The sequence below is a fragment of the Homo sapiens genome, chromosome 6 (assembly GCF_000001405.40).
Source record: "Homo sapiens chromosome 6, GRCh38.p14 Primary Assembly".
NCBI lineage: Eukaryota > Metazoa > Chordata > Mammalia > Primates > Hominidae > Homo > Homo sapiens.
This window is the reverse complement of record NC_000006.12, coordinates 157,163,155-157,183,307: the sequence shown is the minus strand read 5'-3', so window position 1 is coordinate 157,183,307 and position 20,153 is coordinate 157,163,155. Positions and strand designations below refer to the sequence as shown.

General features: G+C 41.7%; 1 protein-coding gene across 38 annotated transcripts in view; it reads right to left on the bottom strand.

The window, feature by feature from the left end:
- ARID1B (AT-rich interaction domain 1B) overlaps positions 1 to 20,153 on the bottom strand; it is a 434,754-nt gene that overhangs the window by 27,472 nt on the left and 387,129 nt on the right. For 20 of the 38 annotated variants that reach the window (XM_011535984.3, XM_017011104.2, XM_047419135.1 and 17 more), the window contains 4 exons: positions 16,123 to 16,268; positions 9,191 to 9,300; positions 8,303 to 8,461; positions 2,130 to 2,339 (listed from right to left, as the gene is read on the bottom strand). In XM_011535984.3, coding sequence (XP_011534286.3) covers positions 2,130 to 2,339; positions 8,303 to 8,461; positions 9,191 to 9,300; positions 16,123 to 16,268 — 625 coding nt within the window. The remainder of the gene's footprint in view (positions 1 to 2,129; positions 2,340 to 8,302; positions 8,462 to 9,190; positions 9,301 to 16,122; positions 16,269 to 20,153) is intronic. The other 18 variants (NM_001371656.1, XM_017011105.3, XM_017011106.3 and 15 more) reach the window with 1 other exon arrangement.

The window sequence follows — 20,153 nt, the reverse complement described above, 5'->3', positions numbered from 1 at the left end:
TAAATTGTGGATGCTCCCGGAGATGCCCACCGCCCTCTTTTGGCACTGAATGCAGGGCTGCAAACTGTGGGTCTTCAGGTTACTTCAGAAATGGCAAGCTGGGCGCTGCTCAGTGTGACCTAAGAAGGAAGGCTGGGAGCTGAGCTTTGTGTGGTGGCAGCACCTGCTCCCAACCACATCTGATGCCCACAAGGTACACAGCATGATGGGGTGGGGACAAAGATGCAACCCAGCTACATTCCAGCAACCCTCATTATAAGCCCGCGGAGAGTCTCATGACAGACCCAGCCTGGTTATATATACTGTGGACACAGTCACAGTAAGGAAGTAGCCAGACACTATCTACTCTGTGCTGGCTGATAAAATCTAATCGTTTGAGCAGTCTTGGTGATTCTAAAAAATCCATGTCAGAAGAGGCTAGGTGCAGGGGAGAAAGGTCAGGGGAGTCCAGGGGCAGAAGGCAAAGGAGCCCAGGTGCAGAGGGGAAAGGTCAGGGAGTCCAGGTCAGAGAGAGGCGTGTCTCAATCATTCTCTTTGCTGACCATCACTCACACGTGGTATCACACGACTTAGCAGCTGGTTATGCAGCGTCATGGGCAAGCTCTAATTCTTTCTGTCACAGGTCTCAGTTCCCCCATGGAATGGATTAGGCACCTAGTGGGAAGGCTAAGCACAAAGAAGGCCTCCCCTTTCTCCCCCGAGACGCAGCACTGAGACCACGGTAGGCCGTCAGTGACACCTGCAGGGCAGATGACTTGCCCTTGGATAGTTAGTGACCCCCGCCACCTTGGTGGGGCGCAGGGCGCCTGATTCTGACTGCCTGTTAGATTACCTTGGGCACAGAAGGTTTCATTTCATTGATGTCGGGTGGTAGCCCAGGTACTGACAGCTTTGAAAAGCTGCCCAGGCCATTCTAATGCATAGCTGGACTCCAGAACCAGTGGCAAATGGGAAGAGTATGTGTCTGGAGTCAGACAGACCTGGCCCCACCAACTACCCTGTGAGTGTCCCTGGGCTACAGCATTATTCTATTTTTTAAAAAATATATTATTTTTTATTGAGACAGGGTCTTGCTCTGTCAACCAGGCTGGAGTATAGTAGTGTGATCAAAGCTTACTGTAACCTTGAACTCCTGGGCTCAAGTGATCCTCCCACCTCAGCCTCCTGAACAGCTGGGACTGTAGGTGTGCATCACCACGCCCGGCTAAGTTTTGTAGTTTTTAATGGAGACAAAGTCTTACTGGGGTCCCCAGGCTAGTCTGCAACTCCTGGCCTCAAGTGATCCTCCTGCCTTGGCTTCCCAAAGTGCTGGGATTACAGGTGTAAGCCACTGCACCCCATCCTGTACTTGATTTTGTTACACAGGAGTTTTCTCATCTATGCTTTGGGGCTGGTGACTCATGTATTTAGAAAGACAAAGGTTACACAGTGAGTACCTTTTCCCTGTTCCTATGACAGGGCGTGGTCCTACAACTAGACTCCTGATTAAGGAGCGAGGGCTACAGTGAGGAAAGCCGGTGCCTGGGGTATGAGACTTCAGGACGCACTCACTCTGAGAGTCAAGCAAGCACACAGTGGATAGCTCCTTAAATCTGCACCCCAGGCAGCTCCCCTGTCACACCTCAGGCCTAGCCCGCTGGAGGTCACAGCAATGGCCCTCCTAACTGTCCAGTTATTGTGGGCATGGTTTGACAAGTATCACTTAATTTTCCTGCTAACCTGTTCTGGATAGAGGGAAGCAGTAAATGTGACTTATATCTGACACAGATAATTAATTCAGTCATTTGTAAAACATTTCTGAGTATTTACTATGAACTACTGGCAGATTCCAGAGAATTCTGGAGCTGTAAGAAAACCTACAGGAAAATCTAGTCTGGCCCGCTGTATACATGACGAAACTGAGGTCCAAGAACATGACCTGCTGAGGTCACGCTGCGAGTTGGTGGCAGAGCCAGGGTCCCCCAGTGCTCCCTGACAGCACACAGACGTGGGTTGCAAGAAGGCGACTTTCACACAGGCTTAGCTTTTCCTTTGTGAGAAAAAAAATGAGTCCACACATTCAAAGAAAGCCACTGTAAGAACTTATCCACAATGCTTCCTTTTTCACCCCCTCCCTCACTCATTCTTACCTGGGCCAAACCCCCGATCTCTTTGACGCAGACGTAGAGTCGGAACAGGTCCAGGGGCTTCTTGCCCACGGCAGGCAGACTTGAGACAGGAGAGCCTCTCTCTTCCATGAAGGTGAGGTATCGGTCGACCCAGAGCTTTCTCTCTGGCTCATTCCCCAGCTCGTACACCTTCGTGATCTTCTCCCCAGTAGTGGTGGAGGAGCTGGACTTCTAGTACCCAGAAGCAGCATGTGGAGGTGGGGCATGGGTGGGCAGAGGGAGAGGGAAGAAGGTGAGAAAAAAGTAATGAGCTAACAAATACAAGAAGAGAAGAGATTAAAAACTACTGCTATCACACAACAATTAGGAATGAAGGCTACTAGTTCAGGCACAAACTATACATTTTCTTAGTTAGGAATTTACTTTTACTTTAAATAAAAGGCCCAAACTCCCCCTTTTATACACTTAAAAACAAAAACAAAAAAGAACAAAGCCCTTTTTGGATATAAGCGTTGAATCCCAGAAGGCAAAATTCCAGTGACACCTCATGTTATTTTTAAAAATAAAAGGGTTCTAGCTCATGGAATGATCATAGTGAATTAAAATTTTTACATGTGATATTATAGAGCCCAAAACATTAAATGGACTCCTACTTTTCCTTGTCAAAACAAGAATGGCTAAAGGGTGTCTTCGTTAAAATGCTACAGCATCTGGAGGATGAGCAACCACACGGTGCTTGCTGAAAAATATAAGGTAGATTTCCAGTCACGGGAACCAGTGGTGTGGGCTATAAGCTCGTGTGTTTTTTGTTTTTTTTTGTTTTTTTTTTTTAGATAAACTAAGGGTCAACCAAAGCTTTGGGATTTATGGATAAACATATACATTTATTTTTATGCCCATGTATTTATATGCTCATGTGTTTTATATTGATACTCTAGTTCTTGGGTTTCTATGTACCTGCTTTTACCTGACACTAAAATATCAAGAGTTGCCGTTTCTGAACACCTGAAGCCTACTCCGTGGATTACATAATCTGGACAGGTAACACTTTTAGCCCTAGGCGGGCCAACTGTATCTCTTCCCTTTCTTATTTATATCTCTGTATTTGTAAAAATATTTACAATATTTGCAATACTAGGGTTATTGTACAAAATCTTTTCTCAGTTCTCAATAAAGATTTCTTGGAACAATAATTTACTTTATTTATGCATACCTAGGTTATTATTTGCAATATAGAGAAATTATTACAGACAGAATTCTTAAGTTTTTTTTCCTTTTTTCTTTATTTAGCTTAACATAATTTTAAACATATTTTTGAAGGTTTAGGGGGTTAACTAACATGACTGCCATTGAGGCTAGATGTTACCTTATTTAGCAGAATGATCTCCAGTAAAAGTAGGTCCCTCAGAAAGGATGCCTGAGAATGAAACTTACGCAGCATGTGAGGCCGCCGCTTTCCCTTTAACTAACACGTGATTCTCCAGAGTCACTGGGCTGAGATTTTAAGCCTTCAGCTTCAGAATTACTGAGGCATAACCTCTTTATCAAATATGTAATGGGTGATACAGTTGATGTAAATAAAAAATGTAGAATGATAAAAAATAGTTGTTTTATATTTTAGAATATACTTTGATGCTGAGGTTAAACTTCACATCACTTAAAAACCACTTTAGATAAGAGCTTAAAAAATATATATGTATACATATTCATATATGTGTGAATATATATATGTCTATAAACCCATATGTACACTTAGAATATAGAAACTATATATCCAAATAAATTTTTAAAGCTTATTTTTCATATCCTTGTACCCAAGGCCTACTTGACTAGGAAAAGAGGCTGCTCTAACACACTTTACACAAGACTCTCATCCGGGCAGCACCTCAGAAGCTCTGCCGTCATTAATGGGACAGTTATTAAAAACAGGTTCCTAAATTTTAGTATGGAGTTTTCTTTTTTATTAACGGGACAGTTATTATTAGGAGGTTTCTAAATTTTAGTATAGAGTTTTTTTCTTCTTTGGGGAGTTACACTTAAAAAAATGGGTCCAACGTTTTCAAAAGTGAAAAATTGAAATAAGAACATGAAGAAAAAGGCATTATAATCTATAATCAGTTAACAGTAAAACAACTTCCCTCTTGCATTTTATTTGTAAAAAACTGAGGTAAAAGTTTGAGATTCAGTTTAAAGATAAGACAAATAAAGGCAATCATTTCAATTTAAAATTGCTCCAATTAGCTCAACCAATATCCTGTTTGTAAGATCCATCTGCCGTTCCTGGTTTGGTCCTCTCTAAACTGAAACTGGGGAGTGGTTCTGGATGAATAGAATCATGAACAGAGCAACGGGGCACAGAAATGCTTGTTCTTGCTTCTGAAGGGACTGGATTCTTACAAGCTGGAATAGGCCTGAGATAATGATGGACACAGTTTGACTATATATTAACTTTTCTCTCCTTGGTTAAATAAACTTAAGTTTAATTAACTTGTGCCTATCTCAATTTGTTGTCATAACACTGGAAAAATTAAATGAAGATACTTTCTAAGAGAATAGTTCTTTTTCATAATTTTTAGATCTTCTAAGAGGCATTTTTATGGCACCATAATGTAGGAAACTGCATCTGCAGGGAACTGACACGGTCAGGCCTCAGTTTACGTGATAAATTCGGAAGAGGCCTCCCGAGGCTGGCTCACTTAGCTGAACCAGGGCCTCAGTTTCACCACTGCCACACGCTTTACTTTTCCTTTGCAGCACGACGTCACACACTGTGTAAAACTGTATGTTTTGCACGTAACTATTTGTCTGACACCCACTTTTCCGACTAGATCCTAAGTTTCACAAGTCAGAGTTTGGGTGGATGCTGATCACCAACACTTAGCGTGGTGCTCTGCATGCTGGAGGGCTGTGATAGCATTTTTTTTTTCCATGAGTGATTACTCCAATGGACAAAAAGGGTGTGAAACGCTTGGAACATGCTAACAGGAATTAACAGCTGATTCAAATATCCTATAAACAGGATTTCACCGAGCAAGGTGTGGAGTGAACGTGGGCACAGTCTAGTAAGACTGAAGGCTGAGCAAGAGGTTGCGTCCGCTGCCAGCACTCAACGCCTCCACCCCAGCTTATGGTTCGCATACTGGGCAGGCAATGACCACAGCCAATATTTAGTGTCTGAACAGAGCGCAATTAAAGACTTAGTGAATAGAGAGCATGTACGTTATCACTCTCATCACTGACCAGGCTCCAAACATACTGTCCTTGTTCATAGACGCTGGCTTTGGATAAAGGTCTTCATTTACACTCCTCCCACTGACAGTAGGCAAACAAACTCGCCCTTCGGAAAGACGGGTTCACTTTTCCCAGTCACTAAGGCCTACCTAGTACCGCCTCAGTGTTGCAAAAATTGTATCCTACTGCTGTGAAACTTTGTGGAGGCAAGAAAAAGGAATGGAAATTGCTGTAAAATTACAGCAAGACATTATTATGGTGCCACAAATGTTTTCCTTGCATATACTTTAATTAAGCCTATAAGTACATTTTCCTCAAGTCTTTTAGGCAGATTTACATTTCAGCAGTCTTTACCATATGCCTGGTAATATGTGTATGTGTATGTGTATGGACAAATGTTTATTTTTATTTTAGAATGTTCTGTAACAAAACAATGTTGGTCCACAGTACACTGTCAAAGCATAGAGCATCTTCATCATTTTGCCTTTTCCAGACCTGCTGTTAGACAGGCTTTATTAAGGACACTATTAAGAGCAATTTTAAGCCCAAATTGAAGCGGCATCTCAGAAAGAGCAGTTAACTATTCCGGGGTTGCATGTATTTGCAGTGATTTGATAGCAGAGATAATGTTAGGTTCTTCATTATACTCTCTTTTGCTCCCCTTTTTGAATTAGCATCTCATTCAAAAAAGTGGCTGTTTTCTCAACACAGAGCAATAATCTGACATTTTCCACTACTGTGAACTTCAGCTTCTCTTGTTCCTATCTACTACAGGAGCCAGAAGTTTGCTTGCAAATTCTTAAAACTATTTATGGTACAGGAAGAGATCATATATATGGAAATATTGAGAAAAAATACACAATTTCAAGTTTAATTATAATCAGAAAACAAAGTTTATAATTCAGTTTGCTATTGTCTTACATTAAAGGAGAAAGTCAGATTTTGATAAAGTCTCCTACAGTGGATGGAGATAATCTTAACTAGTGAATTAAAATATTGTGACTATCTCAAGCCTTCTTTATAAGTCAATGAAATTAGCAAGATGAAAAGTTTTAAACAATATAATATGGTCTATTGTTAGTCTTTCTTTTTAATAAGTGCTCATTCTTATTATCTTTTTTTTGAAATGGAGTCTCACTCTGTCGCCCAGGCTGGAGTGCAGTGGCGCGATCTCGGCTCACTGCAACCTCCGCCTCTCGGGTTCAAGTGATTTTCCTGCCTCAGCCTCCCGAGTAGCTGGGATTACAGGCACCCATCACCATGCCTGGCTCATTTTTGTATTTTTAGTAGAGACAAGGTTTCACCATGTTGGCCAGGCTGGTCTTGAACTCCTGAGCTCAGGTGATCCACTCGCCTCGTCCTCCCAAAGTGCTGGGATTATAGGCGTGAGCCACCGCACCCGGCCCTTAATTATTATCTTAAGTTTTAAAGATTATTATTTTTAACCTCTGAAATTCTCCCTCTGGGCCAACACACAAATACTTTTGAGAAGTTATCTGAATTCTACCTGTTAACTTGAGAGCATTACTGATTCAGGAATGCTTTTCCTATTAAAAAAAGAAAACAAAACAAAAAACCAGGGCAGACTATGAGGGAAAAACACAATGTCGGCTGCCTTCTGAGACTCAAAGCAAATAACACAAAGACATCAAAATGCAGGAGTTGCGCCCCTTCCTGCGAGTTCGGATGCACCCCTCCTAGAAGCGCACTGTCTGCTATACCCATCCTAGAAGCGCTTTCTCTTTCATCACGGGTGCTGCAAAATCGAAACGTAGCTACAGAGAAGGTAAGAGCGAATATCGCCCTTTCCTCCTCTGAAAGGGAAAATGCTGGTTATCCTAGAGCTGCATGTGAATTTTACAAACATTTACTAGAACAACCAACTCTTCAAGCCTTCAGGCTCTATCTGTTTAAACCAGTGAATGGATAATTAATAGCAGCCTCCTTTTGGGGTTTTGACTAGATTGCCAGATTCTGCACAGCTAGGGTCTTCTTGCCTCCAACTTGCCTTCCTGAGCCGTGCTCGTCAATACATCGCCTTACAGAAATGAGCATGTTAATTAAGCCTTCTTGGCAAGTAATTGCATGTTGTTTTTTTTTTTTTAAGATCTTTTGATTCTTTATATGAATGTAAAATAAAGGTTGCTTCAGCACCATTTTTTTTTTCTCTCTAATGGTACAGAATTTCTTTAGTAGGAAACTAAAGGCCCACTTCTAGGGTCAGAAGAACATTGAGGCTTACAAAATTCCCTGATACATCCGTGACATTTTTGTTATAATTTATATATCATACAAAAATCAACACTTAATTTCAAGATTATCAGCAGTCTTGTGCAGAATACAATTGTTCTATCTCAACTGATTCTAACATAGGTACACATTATTAAACTAAAAATTCATTCACATACTAACAACTTGTACGTTTTTATTAATTTCAGACAAATGGGTTAAAAATAAAGCAGGGCTGATGTTACACTAAACCATACCCAAATTGAGTATTTACTTCTTTCAGGTAGGCAGTTTTGAAATAGATAGAACATGCAAAATACAGGTCAGGGGCCAAACTTATCATTCAGTCAATGGCTGCTATTAGTTCCCATATAAATGGAGAAGTAACGCATTTGAAGAATCTTCTATAAGTGCATAATGGATCAGACATTTTTAAAAAGTCACTGTGTGAAGGAGTTTGGACCCAGTTAACACACTCGCATGCTTTGTATAGAGGTGCTTCTTTATAACAGCTTTTTCATTACCAGAAATCAACTTCTTTGATGCACGCAAACTTTATTCATTTTGTCACTAATATTATTATTTATAAAGAAAACCCTTTCATGGATAAATAATGAAGAAAAAGTCTTACAAAACAAATAAACAAGCAAGCATTCAAGTAGAATTAATTAATTATCAAAAAACCCCAAAAAAACAAAAAACAAAAAAAACAAAAAAAAACCAGAGCCACTTACAGGGCTTGATGGAGTCTTTGGCCAGCCTGGGCTGCTAATGCTATCACTTTCATCTCCATGAAATGAGGAGATGCTAGCAGAGCTGGGGGACATTGGGGAAGGGACTGGCAGGTTGCCTGGGGTTGGGGGCTGAGAAATACCCTGAGAGCTGTAGCTATCCTGTGGTAGAGGAATAAAAAAAAAAAAAATGACAAAGGTAGGGCAAACTTTATTTAAAATAACAAAAAGTACATCCACTTTAACAAACTAATTTTTTTATATATATTATATATATATATATATATATAAAGACATGTACAAACAAACACACAAAACCACACATAGATAAAGGTATTAAAACAACATTCTTAATTAGTATAATTGGGTAAGTCTGCTGGATGCTGGAGAAGGCCAGTACGCCACCATGCTTACTTCAAGCTTACATGGAATGCTAAGCATGGGTTACCCCTTATGAAAGAAAGAAAAAAAAAAAGCTGTTCACCTTATTTATCAAATAAGGCAGGAAAGCAAAATATTAAGTATGTTGTTGTTGCTGAGGCGGCCAAAACAGGAAGCTATAAACTGAAGGCAGAGAAAATGGCTGCAAGTACCGAAACCAGGCAGGACCCCTACTTCTCCCCACCCCGAAGCATTTTTCTTAGGTGGGTCTTGTCCCTCCACCCCTCTCCCCCAACCGTGAGTTAATGCCATAAGAACTAGTAACTTTCAGATCCACACCATGAAGGGGCTGGGGAAAGAAAAGAAGACTACAAACATGTTGCACAAAATGAAGGCATGCAGAGGAGACCAAATGAAAAAAAAGTGTCGGCCAACACCAGTGAAGAGAGAACGACATGGCAGCTTTTTGCTAGGCAGACCTCACACCGCGTGCAGAGGCGAAGGAAGTACCTTTGACTTGCTCTCGGGCTGTGGAGTGCCTTCTTCTTTGCCGTCTGCTTTGAGAGGCAGGGGCAGTTTGGATTCACCAGGAGACATCATATCTGCAAGACCCACAGATGCTAATCGAAAACAGGAGAAAGAGTTTAGGATTATATGTGTGATTCGTCAGACTGTACTCCTGCCAACACAAGTTACAGAGTGAAGCAGGAGGCCCTTGCATTTCCCTTGAAGGAAGAAAAGAAAAAAGAAATTGTAATGGGGAGCATATTAATTTCTGAAATGCAAACAGCACCGCATTCTGGCAAAATCCTTTTTTATCTAAAAAAAAGGGCAGTCATTCTGTGTGCTTAAGACCCAAACCTATGAAGGTCAACTTATATCAATATTATTTTTTCAAAATTATTATACCTTCAAAAGAGTAGGCAACAAGTGGAAATAAGGCAAATGTTTAAATTACTAATCAGGAGTTGGAGGCAAATACTGGGTGTGCGTATTTTCTACCTAGGTCCTAGAGGATTTAGTGCCTTCTCAATTTCATAAGTGCAAATAATCTATAGTTTGCAAAATTATTTGACATTTCACAGTGTTTCTTTTGAAAACCTTATCTATTGCACGTAGTCTAGTCAACAATAAGGGAAGACAATCACAGCAGATGGCTTCAAAAACAATATAATTAAAAATAAATTTTGGAAGGAAAGGATTTCTGATTACTTTGCAGTTGTGCTGGGATCCTTTCAGTCTGTCTGAGAGCCTGTGGTCATCAACCCTTACAGCAGCTCAATGCCCAGGTCAGAGGCCCACAGCAGCTCCAGAGTCAACACCACATTTTCTAGCACTAGGCTCAGAAATCCAATCAATTCTATTTAGGCTTTAGCATCAAAGGTTCACCATAGAACAACTGATTTCTCCACATTCATTGCAGATACAGCAGACATTTTCAGGTTAAAAATATGGGTTTAGATTTCTTTTTAGTGGAAGAACAAGACTAGAGTAAGGAATCAGTGTAGCTATCCAGGGAATAACAGCTGAATTTCTACAGAACCCCACTGTGAAAACCATCTGCGCAACACTGGGCTGCAGGGGCTGCGAGTGAGGCACCAACCAGATGTGAAGAGTCAGAGTGAGGAAGAGAGGGAAGGAGAGAGACGGGAGAGAATGATGAGCCTTATACATGAGTGGGAAGAACCAGAAACCAGGCCTATTTCAAATGAAAATAAACCTGAGGTTTGATGAACAGGGCCCATTCTACATTCTGCAAATGAAAGTGCTGGCTCAACCAAGGCGGGACACATGTAGCGTTATGTGCCAAGAAAAAAAAAAAAAGCTTTAAAAAAGGCTCCGCAGATTGCCCACTACAAAATGATTATTGCACATATTCATGTATTACTATGTTTTAGAAAATAATTAGTTTTAATTACAGCAGTGAGAGAGTGAGCAGGCTCTGGTGAATTAGCTGGCAAGCTTTGTGGTGCTAATTTGCTAATATCGTTAGCATCACTGCAGGTTGAGACCACAGGTCCTGCCAAAAAAGCCTGCCCTGCCACGTGCCCATGAGTTTACATCAGCACACTCAACAATACACTTTGAAATCCCGTCTTTTCCACGGGCGCATTGGCTTGTTTTTCAAAGCCCATTTGCAGCCCAGTCAGTCCTTGAAGTCATCACAACACACACAAATCATAATTGGGATGTTTTTCTTTTTTTCAAATTACTTTCAATACTTAGACTTTAAGAACTGGAACAAAAAGCTTTTTCAAGTGATGCAGCTGCAGAGAAAAATCTATTGGGATCAGCTAAAAATGCTGTTATTTTTGTGAATGTGTGAAACCTCAAGCAGCTGAGAGATATTACACCGCGAAGACCGCCTTGTTCAAAGCAGTGGACTGGACTGCTTCCACGCAGTTTTGTCTCTGGGGTCTAACGAGATATGAATTAGTAAACCTGTACATTAAAAAACACCCTTTTCAGAAGAATAGAAGGATAAAAGAGCAGGATGAGTGCGAAAAGAGGGGCTTATGTATGCGAGTCCACATGTCCTGGCTAGTTGATTCAGAGCGGGTTCAAAGGAATGACAGCCAAAACAATTCCAGAGAAAGTGGTAAAGTCATGGGCACATGGCTTCTGTGGCATCGAGCTTCTCCAATGGTTTTAAGTGGTAGTTTTGTCAGTATTTACAATAAATTATGTATGAATATTATTTTGAAGGCAGGAATAGTAAGATTCTATTTTACGCATTAAATGTGCTAGCGTACACAAACGCAACTTGTAAGCATACAGAACTAGGCCAATATGTATTATGGAAATTACTGACAATTTACACTGATTTGAAAATCAGACTTACATGAATATAAACACATTGTTGGTCTGAAATTCCCCAAATTTCTTCATTCTCTATTATATATTTTAAAACAGGCATTTTGGGTGTGCAAATAGAAAAATTATCAAAAGTGGCACTGTTCTATTATTTTGAGAGATAAATAAGGATAGAATTTAGAGTAATAAATGGTTCTATTTAATATTTCTACCTTATAAAATGTATGTTTTATTTTACTAAATGGATCAGAAGCTCTTTCCTTACTGTGGTTTTTACTATTCTTTTTATTTAAATGCTTATTTTTGACTTCTTACCAGAATTCTCAAGGAATCACTGAAACGAGCCATATGCCTCCCAAGGCAATGGGACTCCAGGGGCACTATTTCTTCTCCTTTCCCAGAAGAGAAGGACCACGACTATTACAAGGACGTGTTAAATCAAGGCACTGTTCCTTCTCCTATTGACACGAGTAATCCAGTATGTAAAGTTCAGACATAAAAAGGGGCAGTAAAGAATCTGTAACTGCAGAAAGTGCTGCCTGAGCACTGTAAATACTTTTCAAGCACCAGCCTCTGGCTTTACCATTGAAATTTAAGAACTAGAACGATTTCTTAAAGTAAGTGTGGGTCAAGGTCCTAAGGCAGCTATTCCACACTGGATTTAATATATTCAAAAGGAACGTAAAGAACACATGACATGAGTCAAACCGAACTTCAACACTCATGCCTGCTTTCTTCCTCTTCCTTTACTCAGTCTCCTTACAAGTCTGCAAAATCATTTCCAGAAGATGGTGAAATAGGTCAGAAATGCACAGTTCTTTTCATTTCATGGTAATATACCAGACTGCAAAATATTTGATTTCTTGTTTTTGAAAACACAGAGGGCTGATCTATGTACATCCGCGGATGTTCATGACTATGTTTACATGTGCCAAGACAGAAAGTCCACTGTGAAGGTAACACACACAGGATCTAAGAACGGCTCGGGAGACGCACTGCTCTCATTGGATACGCAAGGCCCTGACAGCCCTGACCGGGAGGACCCTCCATGGCACAGAGTGGGGCCAGCGAGTACCCTGGAGGCCCTGCATACCCCATCATTGCCATCAGCGCCCCCTCCCCACTGTGGCCACCCCCAGGACACTGGCCATGCTGGGTGGCTTTCCAAGGAAACCAGCTCCCCCAGCCACCTACAGAGTCTGGAGCCATCCACATACTTTGGCATAATCTCAGGATCTATTTTCCCCCAGTTTAAGAGATTTGGTTTTCATAACTTATCAAAACCCTTTTATCAAGTCCTTTGTATATGGTGGGAGGGCAGCAATTCACTTGAAATCATTACCTTAGAGCAAGCATGAAAGTGAGCACCCCAGCAACCTCTACAAACAACCCGGACAACCAGCCCCTCGCAATGAGGCTGAAGACCCAAACCTTCCTTTGTGAGAGACCCTGAAGTCCCAAGACAGAAAACTGTGATCCAGCTGGAAGATTGATATTCTAGGAGTAGTTTTGTGAATCTTTTCTTTTTTTCAATTTCAAAACAGCAAATCATCTGGTAAACAGCTAATGCCCCACAAAGCTGGCAGCAGATCTGCCAGGAGACTGTTGAGCAAAATACCTCCACATTGGCGCTTCTCAAACTTGAGCTTGCATGCATGAAAACTACCTGCGGAAGTGGTCAGGGATGCGGATTCCTGGACCCACCTCAAGAATTCTGAAGGGAGCCCCAGAATCGGTAGTTTTAACAAGCACTGCAGGAAGTCCAGAGGTAGGAGGTTCTCAGTTTTTGTGGTAGTGTGATTGCCTTTTTCTTCGTAAAGGCCTGCTGGAGCTGGGATACCCTGTACTGGCAGGGCATTAACGGGACACTTCATGTTTGGGACTGAGTGGTGCTAGGTTAGCAGAAGGACTCACTTCTGGAATGTGCCCAGGGCTCTCTGTGAGAAAGCCTGGTTCCAGCAGCACATATGGCCGCTCCTGTGCTATTTATAGGTGGCAGTAGGAGAAATGCCCTACATTTTGTAGAGTAGCGTCTGGTGAGGCAAACTTAGAACCACAGATGGGAGATAAAGTTTTTGGAATTTAGATGTCCACTTTAAGATGACGGTTTATATGCAGACAAGTGCAAATGACTAATGAATATTATAAAATTCAACACAAATAAGTAAAACCTAACCAATCACACATGTATTGTATTACAGTGATTTGTAATTTTGTCCACAGTAATACATAATTCTAACCTTTTAATCTAAATAATTGAAACAAAACAAAACCAAAAAAGCTCTTTAGAAGGAAAAATTCCCACTGCTTACCATCCTCCTTCCCTTGGCATTTTAAGTGAAGAAATAGTTGTCACATTTATACTCACACTGACTCCATTTAAATAATTACTTGCTCACTGAAGCCTGTAACAATTTGTCACTACACAGGAGGATTTTTTTTTGGCCCCGTACACTGTCTACAACACAGTTGTTTGAACTCGGTGAAGAGAATTGCTGGAATGCTGGTTGCACTGGCTGCTGAGGTTCAGAAAATTCCACCACCAGACCTGGCCATCATTTGTGCTGTCCTCGCTTTCTCCAAAAGTATATTTTGATGGAGAAATGCTTTGCTGTTATCACTGGTAATTTATCTCCATGGGCCCAAACCAAGGAGACTGGAGTGATGGTGATCCCACCATTTCTGGCCCTTCTCTTGTGCAGTCAGGTAGACGCATCCCAACGCTCACAGGGGCTGTGCTGTAACGCTCTGCGTCACTCCTGTCTCTCTGAGAGATCAGAACGCAGTAACAGCAGATTCACGTGTACCTGCTGCTAGGTGCACAGCCAATGTGAAATGGCCAGTCCTCCTCTGTTATGCATTTCACTTAATCAAGGTGGGATAAAATCAGATCAACGTGTAGAGGAAAACTGGATAAATGTTTAAATTATTAAAAATTCAATGTTTCAAAATGTACAATGCAGTAAAAAAATACACTACCACCCCATACAAAAGATCGTGAGGATGGACGGCCTTTCACTGAACAGATTTCCTCTGTACGGAATAACGAATAGCTGAATTATCTGAATAATAAGAATAGAAAGAAACCCTCTCTGTGAATCTCCATTAAGCTGGCTATTCCTTAGGAATACATAAATCTTCTGAGGCAGGGCACTGGGCCATCTGCTTGTTGTTGGTTGTTTCTGTGGCTCTGGGGTCCAAAGGAAGACGGGGAAAATGAGCGCTGCTGATATTAGGTGAAAACTGATTGTGTGGTTTCAATGCTCTCAAGTAATTTTATTCCAGCAAGTCAGACAAAACATAGTATGTCACAACCCAATATTCTGTTACCTGGGCCAGCACTGGTTAGGGAAATTAGGGAAAGAAGAGGCTTCCAGCTAACAGGCTGTTTGCAAGCTTTTCACTTTCATCTCGAATGTAAAACATCCACCAAACTGTGATGGAGAAGCACTCAACGCAGCATCAGGAAGGGCTATTTTATTTATTTAAAAACCTTCATTTTTACCACTAGTTTCTATGTGTTCCTCTTTCATAAATCTTTCAAGAGAAATTATCATGGAATGTCACCCTTCAATTAGGTCCTAGAAATCAACGACGCAGAAGCTCAGACAGGAGGCGAGCCCAGCCTCTCACTGGCTGTTCCGCCGGACACAGGGACATGAACTTTCAAAGACAGAGAGGCCAGAAAGGAGGTGGAAGGCAGAAGAAATGAAAAAATGTAATCAGAAAGAACCAAGGATCTGGCTGTCCCATGCATTCCTAACGCATCACGGGGCATCACGGGATACACACTGGCTAAGCCACGCCCTGCAGTCTCTGAAGGAGGGAATCCTCCCGTGAGATCCATTTTAACATGTGACAGAGAGTAACAGGTCGCTGGAAATACACATCACTTTATGTAAAAAGTGGTACTCATTGTCTTTAGGTAGTTACGGAACCTGAGGAGGGGGTTCAAGGGTCTTGAAGAGTCTAAGATCATGGGAGATATGCACAGTCTCAGACACTCTTGATATTTTCCACACATTGGCTACTCATCCACTGCAATCATCAGGCATGACTTTTAAGAACGCTACTGTGGAGATTATAAAATGGGTTAAAATAACTAAACATCATGAAACATTTAAAACAGTTTCCCAATAGAGACAATCTGCACAGAGCATTTATGAAGCAGCTACTTCCGAGCATACATTTAGAGGTGTTTCCCTAAATGTAAAAAGTACTTCAAACCCCCCTTGCTCTGCCCTTCCAGCGATTTCCCCTGAAATGTGAATTCGAAATGTTTGTCTCCACCACTACCAAATGGAGAGAATTTGAGGATCTTCCAATACTAATAATTCCCAAAGAGAAAGAGAACTTAGTGTGCATATTTAACAATCTCCAATAATACTTGAAATATGTCCACTTGTTATACAAACACAGATTGAATAAAAATAATTTACATAAAATATAATGTAATTCTCAAGTCTTAAATAGATGGAGCAAGTTTCTGAGAAGCAGAAAAGTAGTATGATTCCCACTTTCGCCAACTGATCCACCTTCTCGGGCCGTTTAGGCAGATTCACTGGTGGAGCCTAAGAGGAGGAGAGGGGAGAGAGAGGGGCTCAGGAGCGCAGAGCTGCCAAGGTTACCTGCCGAGCTGTTCACCATGGCGGGCGCCATGCTGTAGGGCGGCGCCTGCGTGTTCATCAGGCTAGAGCTGTTGTTCATGGGCTGGCTGTAGGGAGAGCTGGAAGCCATAAGTCCACTCTGGTTCATGCCGGGGAAACTGCCTTGCCTACAGGAAGAGAAAGCACAGCACACATATACCGACCATGCACATTAGCAGTGGTTTGCCCTGGCAGTCATTTCTACTAATGCATTTATGTAAGGGGTGGGGCTATAACTTTTCATGTTTGTGTAAAACAGATTATTTCCTGGAGAGAAAGGCTGAATTCTATTGCTAGGTAACTCTTTAATACACCCCTTTACAATTCCAAATATTACAAGTTCTGCAAGTAAATTACACATTTTTAATCATGTCAAGTGTTCCAGGTTATTATTTATATAGAGGAATATAAGCAAGAAAGGGGGAACTTGAAATAAGAACAGGAATTACAAAAGCAAGCAAAATTAACTTCTGACTATTAACACTACTTAGTAACCTCACATAAAAACCCAAAGGTTAAGAAATGAAAAACAAATGGGCAGTGTGGGAATGTTTTTTAAAAAAACTTCTTTGACCTAAATTTTCTGATATAATGAATATGGGAGAAAGCACTTCCAAAACTCTCCCCGACCCTACTCTTTAACTTTGGTAATTAGGTTCTATTAAAAACATACCAATTTCCCTACATTAAAATGCCACAGTAGACATCAGACTTCCACTTCTTGTTGGTTGGGCTTTTTACGTTACAGAGGAGGATGGGCACTTAGATCAGCTGCACGTGTCCCTAGCATGCAGTCGCCCGTCCCCAGGGTGGTGCAGACCTACAAGGCGGTCTTGGTGACTTAGTCTTGTTAGTTTTGTCTTACGCCCTGTCAGACTTCTCTTCACTCTTGCAAAGAGGTCAAGAGTATTCTCTGATTTGAAGCAGATAACTGTCACACAATGTCAATTCTCTGACTGTTAGTAACGAGATGGGGGAGAGATTTTAACTGCACAGTGGTGTAGAGATTGCCCTAAAAACAGAAATGATAGCAAGGTGGCAAAAGCGTCAAAAGAGTCCACCATTGTAGTCAAGCTCTTCTTACGTAAAGAGCATACCTTTAAAAAATTTTTCAAAGTTTTGGCTACTCATGTTTCATCTTAGGAGTACAAGCTAGTAGAGGGGTACAAATCCAAAGACACCCTGCCTATCTGTTCCAAATTAATTACAACCCCCTCCACCACCATTAAGCTATCACTTGGTATAATAGTTGGCATTTTAAAATGAGATCCTTTAAAAGATTAACATAAATCTTATTTTTTTATTTTTATGTTTTTTTGAGACAGGGTCTCATTCTGTCGCCCAGGCTGAAGTGCAGTGGCGCAGTCTTGGCTCACTGCAACCTCTGCTTTCCCAGGCTCAAGCGACTCTCCCGCCTCACTCTCCCAAATAGCTGGAACTACAGGTGTGAGCCAACAGCATCCAGCTAATTTTTGTATTTTTGTAGAGACGGGGTTTTGCCATGTTGCCCAGGCCAGTCTCGAACTCCTAAGCTCAAAGCGATATGCCCACCCAAAGTGCTGGGATTACAGGTGTGAGCCACCATGTCTGGTCCATAAATCATTTTTTTTTTTAAATATACTGTTCCTTTTGTTTACCTATTTTCAGCGGACTCAACTGAAAAACCTCTGTACAAAAAGTTCAAACGTGGACCATCTGCAAAATCAAGCTATCAAAGCCATAACTGGTCTACTTTAAATATTAGACAAACTAGAGAAATTCTGTACAATCTAATGTACCATGATGGCTTGGAAAGAACACTGTTAGAAGCTGAAAGATTCTTAGGTATGAGGGTGGCTCAGGGAGAAATGGGCATTACTTTAGCCTGCAATTCTTAGCTTCCTGACAGTCCACTTTGAATAACTGCAGACTGCTAAATCAGAATTAGAATACCCCTTGGAGTTCATTAAGAACAGATCTGAGATCATCCAACAGCTTCTGATTAACCTCTAGGTCATCACATACTCATGCACACAATTGCACAGTAGCTATAAACACATCCCTATATGGTTCAGGGCTTTACATCATCTTGCAGAGTGTTGGCATTAACTCAAGTACCTTAGAAGTATCCCTTCTGAGGTGTTCTTCAAACAAGGGACAATTGAGCATTTAGGTAACTGCTTCAAAAGTGGCGCCTGATGGGACTGCTCTCAGTGTCTTAGCAGACAATCACTGAAGAGCATCTTCACTTGTGGACGGTTATGTTTTCTGGAAGGCTACTTCCATGTCAGTGACTGCCTCCAAGTCACAGCCAATTTTGGCCCATTCTCCAAGATGCATTTTAGTGGCCACTGCTCTGTGATGGCTGTCCTTGTCATCCTTCCTGAAAGTAAGCCCTGCCTCTCCACTTAGCTTCATCTATGCCTTTTGTAGCACTGACCTCTTTCTTTTGTATGTTAAAATAATTTACGCATGTCTTGGTTCTTCTAGGTATGGAAGCCTCCTGAGAGGAGGATCTGGGCCTAATTAATCCCTTGCACATGAGAATTACTAAAAAAAAGAAAAAAAATTGTTAAAGGGATGAATTACTACAGAACATTTTTATTCTTGAAAAAAGGCATTACAAAGATGGTCGCCTTTTCAAGCTTCCATTAAATTCCGTCTCATATATAGTGTAACTAACATGTATGAAACTAATGGTTCCTTGAGACACTTGTTTATACTAAGGTAAAAAAGAGAATCAGAATAGAAAATCCACCAGGCAAATGACTGAATGAAGTAATCATCCAACCCTCATCTAGGATTTCTCCCCCAGGACAGCACTGTCCATCCGTGTCCATCTTTAATCACCAGAAGATGATGAAGGCACACACTACAGGTTTTAAGAAATACCTTTAAACTAACAATGAGGTCCATGCCTTGGATGTCAGTTGCTGGTTACAATGGTCCTTAATTAAAGCACATCTGTAGTTTTAAAAGTTTGGTTAAAAAGCCAGGGGTCTTGACTCTGTCACTGGAGCTCTGGGAGCTCTGGTCCTTTGGATTTCAGTTTTTTACACCAGAACAGGGAGGGGCTGGTAATGATAGTGACAGTAATTTATTTAGTATTTACTGCATGCCTGGTGCACATTCTAGGCATACACATTTAATGTTTTAGATTCCTGGAGGAAGGTAGGTGGAATTATGCTCATATATTAATAAAGGCAATAAAGATCAGAAAGGTTAAGTAACTTGCCTAAAGTCACACAGCTAGTAAGTAGCAGAAATAGAATTCCCCAAACCTACTATCAGTGCGGTATACTACACTTCTTTCTCTATGGGACTCTAACACTGCTAACACTCAGTGAGACCAAGTGCCTGGCTCCTGGCAGCCTGCTGCACCATGCCTTTCCATCTGTCTGGTGTATGGCCCTGCGGTTGTACAAAGATGACAAACCAGAGGGTGTAAACTCTCCGGGAGTCCTGGAATACAGGCTTCAGGGAGCTGGCCACAGTGAGGGGTAGTGGGAGACATGAATACAACAGCTCCCTGGACACCTGCTGCAGGCCTACTGGGCCTCCAGGGCAGGAAGTGAGTCCTCCCAGGAGCACAGGCCACACGTGGCCAGGGCAGAGCAGTGGGTGCCTGTCTGGGTGGGGAGAGCCAGTCTTTCACCATTGCAGAGGAAATCCTATTTGCTCTTGCTTGAGACACTACTGCCAAGAGTCTTGGTAATTTTGAACAAGCAACATGGGCCTGATACCAAAAGAAGGCTCGCACTGCACGCCACTGATTTTGGTTAGTGGAGACAGCGGGCTGTGGATGGACTCCTAAGATGGCTGCCGCCCTAACTAACCCAGCACTCCTGCTCAGCGTGGTGTTGCTAACCTAGGAGGAGTCTGTGGCTCACAACAAAAAGCTCCTTGTTTGGTGGGGCTGAAAATACAATGCCCGAGACCACAGCGACCTGGGTTTCGAGGCGACCTCAGCAGCAGCTGGGTCCTTTCCAGAGCAGCGCTCCCTGGCTGCTGAGCCCCTTCTGACCAACACAACA